Source organism: Homo sapiens, chromosome 18 (assembly GCF_000001405.40).
Source record: "Homo sapiens chromosome 18, GRCh38.p14 Primary Assembly".
Taxonomy (NCBI): domain Eukaryota; kingdom Metazoa; phylum Chordata; class Mammalia; order Primates; family Hominidae; genus Homo; species Homo sapiens.
The window spans coordinates 10,081,841-10,098,009 of NC_000018.10; the positions used below are offsets into that span (position 1 = coordinate 10,081,841).

Sequence of the window (16,169 nt, forward strand, 5' to 3'; positions counted from 1 at the left end):
TTTGCTCTTGTCTGTTTCCAAGAACACTGCAGAGGGAGAGAAATCAGTGAGTTGAAAATCAAACCACTCTCAAAACAGCTCAAGAAAGCAACCACTTTGTCTTCTACTATTTGGTGGTGGTGCATGCATGCTTCTGTCTCCTTCCCAGCCAGGCCATGCCCGGATGAAACTGCAGCAACAGGAACCTGCAGAAATCTGCAGGCAGGGATGACATAAAATAGATCCGTGTGTCCGCAGCAGAGAGCTTCTCCACCTTAGAGTCAAAGAAACTACTTTCTCCCAACCCAGTGCCATGGGAAAAAGAATGGGATTTGTTATTTTTAAATCTTTTAAAAGATTTAAAAACCAAATTCAACTGGGATCCTGCATGGGAATTTCTACTAGGATATATTTCTTGAAGACTTGTTGTCATTGCATTACCGTTTCAAAACAGAATAGTTCATAAACATCTCCTGTGCAGCATTGAACCCTTCTCATTTTAGAGGTGTCCTGGGAAAAGTTTGACATTTAACAGGGAGGGCTGTGATTTGAAGTCTTTAGGTCAGCACCCCAGAGCATGGAATTTTTTTGGTGACTGTATTTTCAGACAGGTCTAGTAAAAATCATTCTTATTTTTAAATGTCCTCTGTCTGTGGCGGGAGCCTTGTCTTTCAGAGTAGGCACAGTGATGTCTAGCTGTCACCATGGTCACAGTTTCATCCAGGCATGGGCTGGCTGGGAAGGAGACAGAAGCATGCATGCACCACCACCGAATAGTAGAAGACAAAGTGATTGCTTTCTTGAGCTGTTTTGAGAGTGGTTTGATTTTCAACTCACTGATGAGCTGGTTTGCAAAATGCTGAGAGCAGGGGAGACAGACAGAGAGCAGAGAGAGCACAGGTTAGGGTGATGGCTCCAAAGGCTGTGGGAGAGTGGGATTGTTACTGAAACACCAGGGGTTTGGTCTAGGTCCTGTTGCTTGCCACACAGAAAGCCAATCACTGAGACAAGTATTGCCGGGGAAGGCAGCTTTATTCAGATGGTACAGTCAAGGAGATGGGAGATCAGTCTCAAATCCATCTCCTAAACTGACTAAAATTAAGAGTTTACATAGCGGGGAAGAAACGTAACTACTTATGGGAAAACAGGAATTAGGGAGGGGTAAGGAAGAGGAGTTAGTCAACAGGCAGCAGGTGGTGGGTTATGCAATCATGATGGGTGAGGGGTCTGGTGTCTCATTGTCCTGATGCTGTGATCTGGAAAGTTTCAGTTCCTTGAAACTATCTGTGAGCGCTGATGGTTGCTTTCCTGAGAAAGGAACTCAGATAAGACAAATGTAACTTTCTAGTTTTAAAACTAGAAGGACCAATTTCTATGCTTATTCAAAAGAAACCATAAACATCAGTTCTATGGAACAACTGGGCTGGTTTCAGGATTAGGGGATGGGGCCCTGTGGGTGCTCCCTGGAGGGGTGAGGTCATCAGGTGAGGGAGGCTGCTGGCACAGACCTATGCTGTGTGTGTACTCCAGCACCCACCCTCTCAGGACATCCTGAGCCCAGGCATGGCTACAGCTGCTCCTCCCAACGGGGGTGGGACCCTCTCCTAACTCTGGCTGGGGGTCAGGCAGGTGGACTGATGCCCTCGGAATGGGACATGGCTGCAGAGGAAGCACATTTTCCCTTTCAGTTCAGAGCTATCCGAATGGAGAGTTCTTCAGGGATGTCACAGTCCTGGTAAACTCTGAGGCAGGACTCTAAAGACCCCAATATTTTGCTTAGTATCCTCAGTGTAGCTGAGCCCTGATTGGTTAATACAACTGAGCCCTGATTGGTTGATACAGCTGAGCCCTGATTGGCCAAGGCAGCTGAGCTCTTGGCCAATGATTGGTTGGTTCAGGTGAGCTCTGGTGTCCCAAAGTTGAACAGAGGTGTTGGTTTTGGGGACCTCCAGAGTATGTGTGTGACTCCTCATCAGCAAATAGCTGCATGTCTCTATTTTATATTTAGGCCCAGTCAGCCACTTTGGATCCACCTTCAAGGACTGGCTCTTTCAGGTTCACATTTGTTAGCACCATTTTAAAAATTGGTTCACAAGCTCAGTGTAAGGGGTCAACCCATGGCAGCCACTAACCTTTTTACTGTATCCATAGATTTGCCTTTTTCAGAATGTCATATCATTGGAATCATATAGCATGTAACCTTTTCAGATTGGCTTATTTCACTTACCAATATGCATTTAAGTTTCCTCCACATCTTTTCATGGCTTGATAGGGCATTTCTTTCTAGTGCTGAATAATATTCCATTATCTGGCTGTACTACAGTTTATTTATCCATTCACCTACTGAAGGACATCTTGTTTGCTTCCAAGTTGTGGCAATAATGAATAAAGCTGCTCTAAACATCTGCGTACAAGTTTCTGTGTGAACATATGTTTTCAACTGTTTTGGGTAAATACCAAGGTGCACATTGCTGGATCGTATGGTAAGACTGTTTAGTTTCATAAGAAAGCACCAAGCTGTCTTCCAAAGTGGCTATACCCTTTTGCATTCCCACCAGCAATGGAAGACAGTTCTTGTTGCTCCACATCCTTGTCAGCATTTGGTGTTGTCGTGTTCTAGACGTTGACCATTCTAATAGGTGTGCAGTGGGATCTCACTGCTGTGTTAATTTGCATTTCCTGATGACATGTGATGTGGAGGATGTGCTTATTTGCCATCTGCATCTCTTCTTTCATGAGGTGTCTCTTCTTGAATGTTTTTAACTCCGGAAAGAAAATTAGTACACCATGAAATTCTTTTCTTTTTCTCCAAAACAAAAAACGACCAAAGTAAAAAAAAAAAAAAAAAAACAAGCAGACCAAAACATGACACTCCTTTAGCCCAGCTCATTATACTCACTCCTAAATACAGAACAGAATATCTGGGAAGGGCTGGGTAGGAGAGGTACCTGGGGGCCTGTGAACGTTGTTTTGCCCCTTTCCTGTGAAACTAAATCTCTCCCAGAGCCCATAGGGAATGAGGAGAGGGGAAGAAAGTTCTGATTTTGGCTTTTTGCATGGGAGCTGGACAAAATCCTGCCAAGGGCCACTTCATCTAAGGATGCTTCTTAAAGGAGAATTTGGTTCTAGGACTAGTGGCCACTAGGAACAGGTTGATAAGGCACAGGAATAGAATGGTCAGATATGGATTATCTCACAGTCATTGAGGACTTACTACATGCTCAGCATGTTGGTAAATGCTTCTCATTGGATTCTCACTGCAACCCCCACATAGTAGGCACTGTTATTTCTCTCTTTCTTGCCACGTGGGCTGGTACATGTTGAATTTAGATGGAGCGGAGCCTGGTATTTGGCCTTGCTTACAGTCTCCTGGTCTAGGTCGCTCAGACTTGAACAATATGAGCGAACAGGTTCTTGTTTGGAAGGCGTGGCTTTAAGACTACCCAAGGCTTGTGGCTCTTAAAGAATATAAAGTGAAATGACAAGACAGCATCCCATGCAAGGCAGGCAGCTACTACACAGCTGAATAAATTGCCAGGTTGTATGCGTAGTGGAACCCTTGAGAAAATCCCATCACCATCCTCACATCTGATAATTGAGTCATATTTGCAGAGATGGTAGCTCACTTTGAAGTGGCTTTGCCATCAGGTTCCTGGGTGGATAAAATTGTATCAGAAGATGAGTCAGCATTCTTCCTCTCCTCTAGTGAAAACAGAAACAGCGAACTCTTAAATCTCTGTTCATTCCTTCTTTCCCAGGCTGGGGGAGAAGGTGGAAGCTTCCTTTAGTCTTACCGTGTGATGTGATCTGCTGTGACATCTGGCAGTGCCTGCAGTAAAAGAAACAGCTGGGAATGGTCATGTCCTGTTTTCTGGATGATATAATGCAGGCTAGAAGTCTATGTCCATCAACTATCAGTCACCGCCTCTGAGACACTGCACGTGCAACTAATTAGCTAGACCAAGAAGTCTCCAAAGACCTGGATTCAGAAACCAAACTCCCCTTGATTACGTGGGCCATATTCCTGGTGGCTGGACTTCATTAACCTTGGCTGTGTTCAGCTATGGAGGCCTCTGATCGAGTCAAGATATTTTGCTGCCTAGTTGTTGCTGATTTGATTCAGGTTTTTATTACTTTACAAAGGCAATGCTTATCCCTGTGGGTGATAAGAAACCAACAAGGCCCAAGCTGCCAGCATTGGTTTCCCCTGCCTCTAAACCAGCATGCTCTATTTGGGTGTTTATTACGGGACTTTGGACTGCAGATGGAATTGCAAGTGCTCCCTGCTCAGGGAACTTGCCCTCAGAGGGAGAATGCAGGCCTGCATAAACCCCAGGAGATCCATTGAGGAGACACCTAAAGCAAGTCCAGTGATGGTGTGACAGGATGATGCTGTGATGCTCATGGTGAGACGGTGGGGCAAGGGCCCCAGGCAAGTGAGAAGGCCCACTGAAGGCCTCGCTTTCCACTGCTCTCCCTCCTGCTTTTCAGCAGCCTCTTCTCAGCTTGCCTGGGTCTCTCTTTTCTTCTGCTTTTTCTGCTGTGCTCTTTCTCTAACTTTCCTGGCCCGTGATTTCTGTGTACTCTTTTCTCCTTCTCCAGGCAGAACTTGTGGTGTGCCACCCTCTGGGAGGCACAGGACCTGTCTGATGTGGCTCCTGTACTCGGGATGGCCAGCTGCCCTCTTCCCGCCTGTGGGCAGGTCCTTCCGCAGCCAGCCGGAGAGGGCAGTCTCAGGCCCTGTCACTTCTTTGTAACTCATGATCAAACAGGTTCTGTGAGGATTAGGGAGGCACCCAGCTTTGTGTTATAATTACTAATCCTTTGTTTTCGTAACATTGGGAGAATGTTTTTTTGTTTGTCTAGATGGTTGATTCTAAATAGCTGCAGAGCTCGTGGCAGTAAGGTTAAATGTCACTCATGACTCATTGGTGCCCCGTGTGTCTGCAGGTGTCAGTCACTGCTGTTTGAAAAGCTGGGGTCCCGCAGTGCTCGGCTGTCCTCAGCTCTGGCCACTGTGATAATGACCTGGTGAGATTTGGAAATTACCGATGGCTGGTCCCACCCCCAAGTTTGATTTAATTGGTTTGGATGATGGCCTGGGCATCAAGATTTTAGAAATCCCTCCTGGTGCTTCTTACAATGACGAAGGAAGCCAGTGCTCAGACTCTATGAAATCAGCGAAGGCTGGAGGCCAGGAAGAGCCAGGGGCCCGAGGCAGCAGCATGAGTTCACATTCCCTTCAGCTGCACTGTTCTCTCAGATGGTCTCACAGTCTTGCTTCCCCAGGAGATGGAAACCTTACTCTTCCTCCCTCATTTATTCACTCAGCAAACATAGGTAGAGCCCTTAATAAGTGTCAGGCATTAGGGAGACCCATGGAGGGGACACAGAGGCTGTTTTCACAAGACTTACAGGGTGGCATGGGAATGCAGCTTTGTAAACAGGTGATTTCAGCACCCACCGTGAGTCTCAATAGAGACCATGAATCTGCACAGGGCAAGGAAGCGCTCACTCAGCATACGTATGTTAGGGGCAAGTTATAGAATGGTTTTTAGAGTTACAATCCTTATTTAATGGTGAAGAGAGTTGAGGGGTTTGGACCAAGTTGTGTGCTCTTGGTTACCAAGGTGAAAGAGCGACAAGGCGTTTGTTCACCCGAGCTCTATCCCCATATGGGTTTGAATCTGCTTCTCCGTCACAGCTAAGGAAGTGTCCTACCATTTGCATTCTGAGAGGTAAGATAATACCTAGAGAATGAAAGCATTTCCAGCTGCTGCCCCCATGGATCTGACCCTTAGTACCCACGCGTGTGCTGTGGTCATGGCTACTGAACGTGACCAGCAGTGTCAGGATCACCTGGGAGCTTGTCGAAAATGTAAATTCTGAGGCCCTCACCTGAGACTTACTAAATTGGAATCTCTGGGGGTGGGCCTGGGGATCTGTGTCTGATGAACTCTTGAGGTGATTCTCATGCCTGTTAATGTTTGAGAAGCCCCACTGGAGGTCACTGGGTCAGCTCCTGATAGGTGGATGCAGGAGGTTGCTCTGTTATTCCCAATTTTCCACCCACTTTAAATCCATACCCTTTGCCATGTGACTCTGTAGTTCCTCCGACCAGAATAGAAGTATCTGCCCCTTTTCTGACAGTGCTGGGCTGACAGGTGGACTGTGGGAGAAGGGGATAGTGTCCTGCTGATGTTGAGCCTAGACCTTAGGAGACATTGGATGTCTCTGCTTGCCCCTCCAGGAGCTTCCAACTTCTGCATGGAAAAAAAAATGCTGCAGGTAACTGCTGTCTCTTTCCCCTGTGCCCCAGAATGAACGCATGTGGAGCAGAGCCTCCCAGCTGACCTGTAGACCTATAGCCCAGAGCAGAACTTCCCTAGCTGACCTGAAGATCTTTAGGCATGAGAATAAATGCATGGTACTGTTTGCCACTGGCATGGTTTGTTACGCAGCAATAGCTGACTGACCCAGTGGTAGGGACAGGGACAGGTTTTGTAGGCCTAGACAGACAAGAGCAGTGCCCAGGTGTAAGGCTATTGGCATCAGGAAGTCAGGCCAGCAGCCTAGGTTCGATAATCAGAGACTCTATGTAGTGTGGCCCTTTACCTTGGCCTCCTGAGTCCTCAGCAGCTGGTCCTAAGCTCTATGCCTGATTCTCTTGGTATTACCTGTTCAGATCCCTGGGAGAATTTGATTAACGATGCCATAGATCACAGAAGCCACGTTATCTCTCACTTGAATTATTGCAAGCACCAAATAAGAACAATGGCTACTAGGTGAACTGATAGCTTAATGGTTTGAGGAATTAAACAAGTTGGCCACAATAACCATTCCAGTTTCTACCTGGTGGAAGACTTTGTCAGTGGAGCCAGAAAAACGCCTGGAGCTAAGGTGCTTCTCTGAGGACAGGTCTTGGCTAGGTAGTGGCTGCCTCTGCTTTTGGAACGCTCCTTCCCCTGTGCTTTCAGGGCTGGCTTGTTGAAGCAGTCAGGATAGGGTAGGCTCTGCTGCTGTAAAAAACTGTGACATCTCAGTGATTACCAGAAACAAATTTATTCCTTGCTTGTACCACAATCCAAGGTGAGTCAGGTATCTCTCTTAGTGGCTCTTCTCCAGGGATGATTCAGAGACCCACGATGCTTCCAGCTTCCACTCTGCCATCTGAGCGTTCTCTAATCTCAGCTGCACAGATGAGAGTGTGGGGAGCATGCCCCTGGCTGTACTGCCCTGGCCAGGGATAGCATCACTCCTGCAGAGTGTGCAGGAAGAGGACTCAAGCATAGGGTCCACAACCAGCTTTAAGGCAGCAAAGAAAGGTGTTTTTCTGTGTTTCTGGGAAGAGGAAGCAGTGTGGGGAACAGAACATTGCTTCTGTTATTCCTGTATTTAAGGTAACATTGTTTCTCTTCTATGGGTTCACTAGACATTTATTTCACCCTTTAGCTCTTAGAGGGCAACATTATTTCCAATAAGGTAAGTAATAACCACCAACGGACTCTAGAGATAAATAAAAACTGGGCTTGATGAAGGAGTAAGGAGTGGAACCCGACAGTTCCTTGCAATGACAAACCCTGGAGGGAAGAACACTGAGTGAGAAATATTTGTGGATAGGCACAGATTTGTATGCAAATCATTGAGATTATTTTTGCTAAATATATTAGAATTTTGAGTTAAATGGCAGGAAAGAGGCCCAGTGTGGCTCATCTGTGTTAGCAGTTTGCATTGCCTTATGAGTCTCTTCATCTTGGCATTTCAGATTGTTACATGTTGAAGGAGACTTAGAAATTATTAAATCGAAATCATTTCATGCTAAATGCAGGGAACCGAGGTGCAGTGTAGTGGAATACAGCGAGCCTGCAAAGCAGGGTGCCAGGTCGCCTGACCACCAGTCCAGTGCCCTCTTCACCACCTGCTCCGTGCAAGGAGGGTTCCTGCCAATCATGTCCCAGGGCATTGGTGAACCTGAGGGCTTGTGCTTTCTTCTGATTTTGAGTCATTGGATGCAAGCAAACCTAAGAGAAGTGGGTGGTGGTGTTTGATGCCTCCTCACGGCACCCCCCAACAACTGCCACATTAGAAAACTCTTCTGAGCCTGCCGTGTGGCCCTGGTGGAAGCAACATGAAAGCTTCTAATAACAGCCTTGGGGAAAAGCACTCTGCCAAGGTGTCTTTGTGTCCTTTTTGGGGCGTTTGATGAGCTTCCTTTGCTTTACATATAGCTTTCCAGGAAGAGGCAGATGCGCTTCTCACCACAGAGCTATTAATACCCCAAGCCAAGCACTTAAAGGAAAACATCAACCAAGTGTTTAGCCATGTAGTTGGGCGGGGGTTGAAAGAGACAGAAGGAGGGAGAGAGCAAGAACAGGTGCAGGGGTTCATTTCAATGAAGGAAAATACAACAGGAAAGGAATCCAGTGCTGCTCTGTTGTGTTTCTAAAGTTCACATGAATTGAATTTTCTGTGGCCCACCAGGTGATATTAAACGTAGCTTTCTTGGATTAGATAATAATTAGGAAGCGTGTTGGTAATAATTAGCAGCAATTTGCCAATCACTAGGGGCCAGCTGGCCCTAGCTCCCTGCTGCTAATTCGGCAGAGTGGCCGTCCGCTCTAAGCAGGCCTTTAAGGCAAGGTGCTGTTTTAGGAAGACAGTCGGGGACAATTCCACAGTGGAAAATCTCTGGTTCTATGAGCATCCAAGGTTGAAATAAGTGTAGGCTTATTTCATTTGGGAAGCTTAATTAAAAAGTAAAAAATGTCCTTTCTTCTACAACTGGAAACTTTAACATGAGGAAGAAAAGGGGCTTCTTTCTTCTTCCCTCTTCTTCTTCCTTCTCCTTCTTTTAAAGATAGTAAGGAAAACTACCACTGTTTCAGGTTTGGAAGCTAGTCTTTGGTTTTATACTAAATGAAACCTGTTAACAGAGCAGATGAGTGTATTTTAAATGGAATCTGTTAAACCAACATAGTAGACACATCCCTTATTTTCGCATGTGTTTGGGTTTGAAGTCCATGAAGCTGGGCAGGGGGGTGATGTGCGAACATTGGGAGAGGTCAGGAATTCAGCTGCTGGGGAAGAGGCTGAGCCACAGGAAGCTTAGATACACGTGTGTGTACTGTGAGCTGGAGCCAGTAAGGGTTCAGAGCTGGGGAGTGGGGACTGCAAAGAATGCAGATGGGGCCTGGCCCACCCTCCAGGGTACATCCACATTTCTGAGAAACGCTATGCCAGGGGAACATTAAGAGTGAGGGGGCTATGTTTTCAGAGGTTACTTCAGACCTTGGGTATGTGGGGAGGTGAGGCAACAAAGACTGAGAGATGTCAGCCAATGAAAAAGTGTAGTCACCTCTCAGAAATACACCCCCTGCAGTATTTTAGAGACAATGTAGAATAGATGCCCAAAGTAAAGATAATCCCAGAGTGGAGTATATTCAGGCTGAGCAATACCATGTAGAGCGGGGTCCCCACCCCCGGGGCCAGGAACTGGTACCACTCCGTGGCCTGTTAGGAACCAAGCCGCACAGCAGGAGGTGAGCAGCAGGAGAGCAAGCAAAGCTTCATCTGCATTCATAGCTGCTCCCCTCCCCGCCTCGAATTACCGCCTGAGCTCTGCCTCCTGTCAGATCAGTGGCAGCACTGGATTCTCATAGGAGCACGAACCCTATGGTGAACTGCGAATGCAAGGGTTCTAGGTTGCGCACTTTTTTTTGCTCTTTTTTTTGAGACAGTCTTGCTCTGTCACCCAGGCTGGAATGCAGTGGCACGATCTTGGCTTACTGCAACCTCCACCTCCTGGGTTCAAGTGATTCTCCTGCCTCAGCCTCCTGAGTAGCGGGGATTATGGGCACCTGCCACCACGCTCGGCTATTTTTTTTTATTATTGTTTTTAGTGAAGACGGGGTTTCACTATGTTAGCCAGGCTGGTTTCGAACTCTTGACCTCAAATGATCCATCTGCCTCGGCCTCCCAAAGTGTTAGGATTACAGGAATGAGCCACCGTGCCCAGCCTAGTTGCATACTTCTTATAAGAATCTAATGCCTGATGATCTGTCACTGTCTCCCATCATTCCCAGATGGGACCCTCTAGTTGCAGGAAAACAAGCTCAGGGCTCCCACTGGTTCTACATTATGGTGAGTTGTATAATTATTTCATTATATATTTCAATGTAATAATAATAGAAATAAAGTGCACAATAAATGTAATGTGCTTGAATCATCCCGAAACCATCCCCCTCGCCCCCTGGTCCGTGGAAAAATTGTCTTCCATGAAATCAGTCCCTTGTGCCAAAAAAGTTAAGGACCACTGGCTTATGGGACCTAACTCTGACTATGTGAATGCAATGTCCTGTGTTTTTTTAAAAGTAATTTGTATTTATTTTAGTTGAAAAATAAAGATTATATCTATTTATTGTGTATGACATTTTAAAATATGCATACATTGTGGGATGGCTAAATTGAGCTAATTAACATGTGCATTATCTCACATAATCTTTTTTGTGGTGAGAACACTTAAAATCTACTCTCAGCAATTTTTAAGAATACAATACCAAGTTATTAACTATAGTCACCATGTTATACAACAGATTGCTTGAACTCATTCCTCCTGTCTAACTGAAACTTTGTTTCATTTCGCCAACATCTCCCTCTCTTACTTCCTACTCAATGCCCTGTGTTTTTTTAAGGCAAGAAGTTTGGGTAGTGACTGTATATTCTGCAAAATCCCTGTGGACTAGACAGGTGAAGGCCAGTGTTGATTGGGAGCCTGAGATTAGGAGGGCAGAGACCTCCGTTCCCCTTGGATCCAGGTTGGATGGAAAGTATCAGATGTCAGGCAGATCACTGGTTTACAGCCAGCAAAATTACCTGGGGAGCTTTAGAAAGTACTGATGCTTGGATTCCATTCCAGCAAAACTAAATCAGCATCCCAGCAGGTGGGAGGGGGGCCCAAGCATCATGGGTCTTAAGAGAGCTGCCCAGTAAGGCTTGAGAAATACCCTTAGAGGGCTCAGGGGGATGGACAGTGTCTCCCCCGCCCCAAATTCATGTTCACCCAGAACCTGAGGACGTGGCCCTATTTGGAATAGGGTCCGTGAAGATGTGATGAAAGACAAGTTCATACTGGAGCAGAGTGGGCCCCAAGTCCAGGGACTGCTGTCCTTCTAAGAAGAGCAGAGGACACAGATGTGCACGGAGAAGAAGGCCGAGTGAGGATGGAGGGCGAAGGGTGGGAGCTACGGGGCCACAAGCCACAGGACAGCTGAGGCCACTGCAGGCTGAAGAGGTGAGGAAGGATCTCTCCCAAGCCTTCAACAGGAGCAGGGCCCTGCAGACACCTTGATTTCAACTTCCAGCCTCCAGAAAGGTGAGAGATGTCATTTCTGTGGTTTCAAGCCAGCCTGTTGTGGCATTTATTACAGCAGCCCTGGGAAACTGAAATGAGCAGTTTCCAATCCCTGACTATGGCCTTTCCCGAAGGGGCAAACAGATTTGTATCCAAAGACCCTCATCAAGGGCTCCCATTCTCACAGGAGGGGAGCAGAGTTCAGGCAACAGAGACTGAGATTCCCACAGTGAGGGGCACTCCAGGGGTGGTAAGGCTGCATGGATGTCTAATGAAAGATGTCCTAGTGGAAAGCGGAGACTTAGGGTCTAGTGGTGTGAGGAGTGTGACTACCGTTGGCCTCTCAGAGCAGACACAGGCACAGGCATAACTGCTCACGTGCAGTGAGGCTGACCCCGCAGAGTACGGCTCTGCACTGCGTAACAACATTTCAGTCAGTGATGGACTAAGTATACGACAGTGGTCCCATAAGATTATAATGGAGCTGAAAACCTTCTATCACCTGGTGATGTAGCCGTCATGACATCATAGCACAATGCATTGCTCACATGTTTCTGGTGATGCACTGCCAGTCATTCAAAAGTCGAGCACATGCAATTATGTACAGCACATAATGTTTGGTAATAATCATAAGCGGCTATGTTACAGGCTTGTGTATTTATTATATGACACTTTTAATCATTATTTTAGAGTGTACTCCTTCTACTTACCAAAAAAAAAAAAAAAAAAAAGGAACTGTAAAGCAGCCTCAGGCGGGTCCTTCAGGAGGTATCCAGAAGAAGGCATTGTGATCCCAGGAGATGACAGCTCCATGCATGTCACTGCCCTGAAGACCTTCCAGTGGGACAAGATGTGGAAGAGGAAGACAGTGATACTGATAATACTTCTAAAAATAGAAAAAAGCTTATAGAATAACAATGTACAGAAAGAAAATATTTTTTGTATAGCTATAAAATGTGTGTTTTAAGCTAAATGTAATGAGTCAAACAGTTAAAAATATTTAAAAGTTGATAAAGTAAAAAGTTACAGTAAGCTGTTTCATTTATTTTTGAAGAAAAAAATTTAAAAAATAAATGCAGTGTAGCCTAAGTCTCCAGTGTTTCTAAAGTCTATAGTAGTGTACAGTAATGTCCTAGCTTTCCCATTCACTCACCACTCACTCACTGACTCACCCAGGACTGCCAGCCCTGTAAACTCCTGTAAACAGATGGTCATATAGTTGCTCGTGGGGTCACCTTGTCCTTGCTCTGCCTGACTCTGTGCCCAGCTCATCTTCCTGGCTGCTGGCTCAGCTGGCCTCCCATGGTCTCCTCCTTGCTCTGTTTTTTGCTGACCCCCTTGGTGAATGGATGTTCCTGGATTCCTAGAAGCTCTGGCAAGTTCTGACTTGTAAGTTCCCTATATAAGTGTATCATAATTTTGTCTTTTATACCACATTTTTATTGTATCTTTCCTATATTTAGATCTGTTTAGATACACAAATACTCATGATTGTGTTATAAGTGTCCATAGTATTCAAGACAGTAACATGCTGCCCAGGTTTGTAGCCTAGGAGCAATGCCATACCATATAGCTTAGGGTGTTGTAGGCTGTACCATCTAGATTTGTGTAAGGGCACTCTGTTTGCACAATGATGAAATCACCTAAAGACGCATTTCTCAGAATGTATCCCTGTTGTTAAGCAATGCATGACTGTATATACTGTAAATTTCCCTCTTACCCTTCTCCAAAGGCATGTGGCAGCTATTTGTCAGGTAACTGTGCATTGAGGAAAGGGGAAGTGATGAGACTTTGAGGGTTTATTGGACTCAAAAGGCTACTATGATACATTAGCCAGAGTAGGAAATTTTTGGGGTCTGGAGTCATGGAGTTTTGACTCAGGTCTATTTCATCTTGTGCCGAGTGTGTCTCTGAACCCATCCTATGCTTACATCCCTGGTTTTGGAATATGTAACTGGAATAGACATAACAACTGTCAGACTCCCCTCATTGTTTCCCTGACCCATGGAATGACCCAAGGTCTACTATAATGGGAAGGACCAAGTGGAAGATTCTAGAGCTTCCTCTACCTCTTCAAATATTAATCCAAAAGCATTATACCCTTCCTGGAAGGACTGCAGAGATTAGTGCCACTCTTAAGAACTTGAAAGTCAGCGTTAGAGAATCCTACCATATTTCCATTTACCTTGTCTATTTGGCCTGTGCAGAAGGTAGATGGATTTTTAGGAACAAACGTGGATTACTGTAAACTTAATCTGGTGGTGAATCCAATTGCAGATGTGTATTGTTTGCACATCACCTCCAGCTGGTTTGCAGCTCTCAAGCTTGCAGATTTTCCCCACTCTTCACCTGTTGGTAAAGATCACCAGAAGCAGTTTGTCTTCAGTTGGCAGGGCTAGCAATACACCTTCACTGAACTAACTCAGGGTTATAGCAGCTCTCTGGTCCTCTGTCATAATCTAATTCACAGGGATCTTGACTGCCTCTCCATTCCATGGGACATCGTGCTGGTCCGCTCCATTGAAGATAATTGATGATATCATGCTGATTGGACCTGGTGAGCAGGAAGTGAGTTGAGGGGAAACTGACCTAGACACTTTGAAAAGACATATGTGTAACAGAGGGTAGAAATAAGTCCCACAAAAATTCAGGGGCCTTCCATCTCAGTGAAAAGGTATAGGAGTCTCATGTTCCAAGGCATTTTAAAAATCCCTTCCAAGGTGAAAGGTGAGTTTCTGTATCTAGAATCTTCTCTAGAAAGAAATGCAAAATCTAATGGGCCTTTTTTGGATCTTAAAGACAATATATACCTCATTTGGTCATGTCACTCTGAGCCATTTGTTGAAGCACCCAGAAAGGCTGCCAGTTTTGAGTGGGTCTCCTAACAAAAGAAGGCTCCGCAAGAGACGTCTCTGCAAGTTGCTCCACCACTTTGGCCATGTGACACAACAGATTCGATGACACTTGATGCGTCCCTGACTGGTTGCTATACTGTGACATTGGCAGGCTCCTATCAATGAAGCATACAGCAAGTCTTTAGGAGAAGCATAGCTCTACCATTCTCTGCAAATAACTATTTTTTCTTTTGATAAATAGCTTCTGACTTGTTACAGGGCCGTAGAAAAGACTGAACACTTGACCATAGGCCACCACATGATCCAAACTGTCCAGCAAGAATCAGGTGTTTTCTGACCAACCAACCTGTAAAATCAGGTGTGCACAGCAGCACTGCATCCTCAGGGGGAGGTAATATATTCAATGTTGGCCTTGAGCAGATCCTGAAAGCACATGTAAGTTACCCAAACAAGTGGCTCAGAGTCTCCCGGCCCCTAGTTCCGCTCAGTTGCCTTCTCTCTCTCAACTTCCGCTATGGCTCATTAGAAATTCCCTATGGCCAGTTGACTGGGAAGGAAGAACTTCAGTCTCAGTTTACATGATTTTGCATGGTATGGCCACCCAAAGATAGATAAAGCAACACTGAGACTTTGCACCCTATTTCAGGGAGAGACTTAGTGTGTCTTTTGTTGTGTGAGAGATAGTTGCACCATGTTAGGTAAAAACATTATTTTATGATCGTATTTATTTGGAAATGAAAAATGGTCAAAAGAGGTATATATGGATGGTTTTGCACTGTGTCCACTTGATCAAGCTGGAACTGTGTTTCCCAGTATCCTTGCATAAGTCTGAGTTAGAGTTGGCCAGAGGAGAAAGTTGCATGGCCTTGGAGAGGTAGAAGGTGGGAAGCAGGCATCACCCCATGAAGATGAGGTGAGATGTGATGAGAGACAGAGGCAGACACTGGTAGTGGCTAGGTTGTTCTCTCTGTTCCTCATGGACAGATGGTCATATAGTTGCTCGTGGGGTCACCTTGTCCTTGCTCTGCCTGACTGTGCCCAGCTCATCTTCTTGGCTGCTGACCCAGCTGGCCTCCTATGGTCTCCTCCTTGCTCTGTTTTTTGCTGACCCCTTTGGTGAATGGATGTCCCTGGATTCCTAGAAGCTCTGGCAAGTTCTGCCTCATGCACCAGTGCAGGTCATCATCAGAGAGTCCAATTAGTGACTCCCTCTTCTGGGCCCTTAATTCCCTAGCTTCCCCACAATTGTATACATGTTTATGCCTATTATAAATAGGAATTGTTGGTACCCTAAGCCTGGGAGGGAAGGAAAAACTCACCAAATCCCTGAAGAAAGGATGGCAAATCTGGGCCATTCTCCTGGGATACGGCAGGAATGAGGTGACTGACTTCTCACCTTTCTCACCTCTGCCACCTGGCAGGTATATGTCAGGGGAAGCCCCAACGGTCAGGTTTCAGCCTCAGTGATCGAAACCTTCAATGTTCACTGTTAGGAGACAGGCAAATTATGAACCCAACTAGAGCCACCAGGCAGCACAAGCCCTACAGCACACCCGTCTTGGTCTTCTAAGTTTGAGGAGAGTTACATAGTAACTTCAGTAATAAAATCTTGTAGAGTGGAGAGAGGAAGCTTCCAGAACATGTTAGTGGGCTGATAGTTAAGGTATAAGCCCATCTCAAGCAGCCCATATTAACTAAAACTTTAGCAATAAGCTCCTGACACGTGAGTCAAGGAGCCTTAGGGAAAACTTTTGAAACATGTGTCTGGTGTCTCTAAATGCCATGAGATAGCCATTTTTGATGTTTTACCCCCTAAATGTATGCTCATGGAGCTGAGAGGATAGTAAAAGCAGACTTCTAAGATGAATTTAGAGATATTTCTTGTCTGGACTATAAACCAAAACCCAAAAAACCCAGGATCCTATGGGGCTCACCAAAGGTTTCTAGAAGGTCTTAGTTGTGGAGATCCTTAAACATGGAACTTT

The 16,169-nt window shown here is 45.7% G+C and overlaps 1 long non-coding RNA gene across 2 annotated transcripts; it reads left to right on the plus strand.

Annotated features, from left to right (window-relative positions):
- The first annotated feature begins 3,720 nt into the window (after positions 1 to 3,720).
- On the plus strand, positions 3,721 to 12,054 carry LOC105371984 (uncharacterized). Of its 2 annotated transcripts, none has more exons than XR_935136.3 (3): positions 3,721 to 4,385; positions 11,043 to 11,350; positions 12,020 to 12,054. It is a non-coding gene; the product is annotated as an uncharacterized LOC105371984 (long non-coding RNA). The 2 variants fall into 2 exon arrangements; XR_935137.3 differs by having other exon boundaries at positions 11,073 to 11,350.
- Positions 12,055 to 16,169: the final 4,115 nt, after the last annotated feature.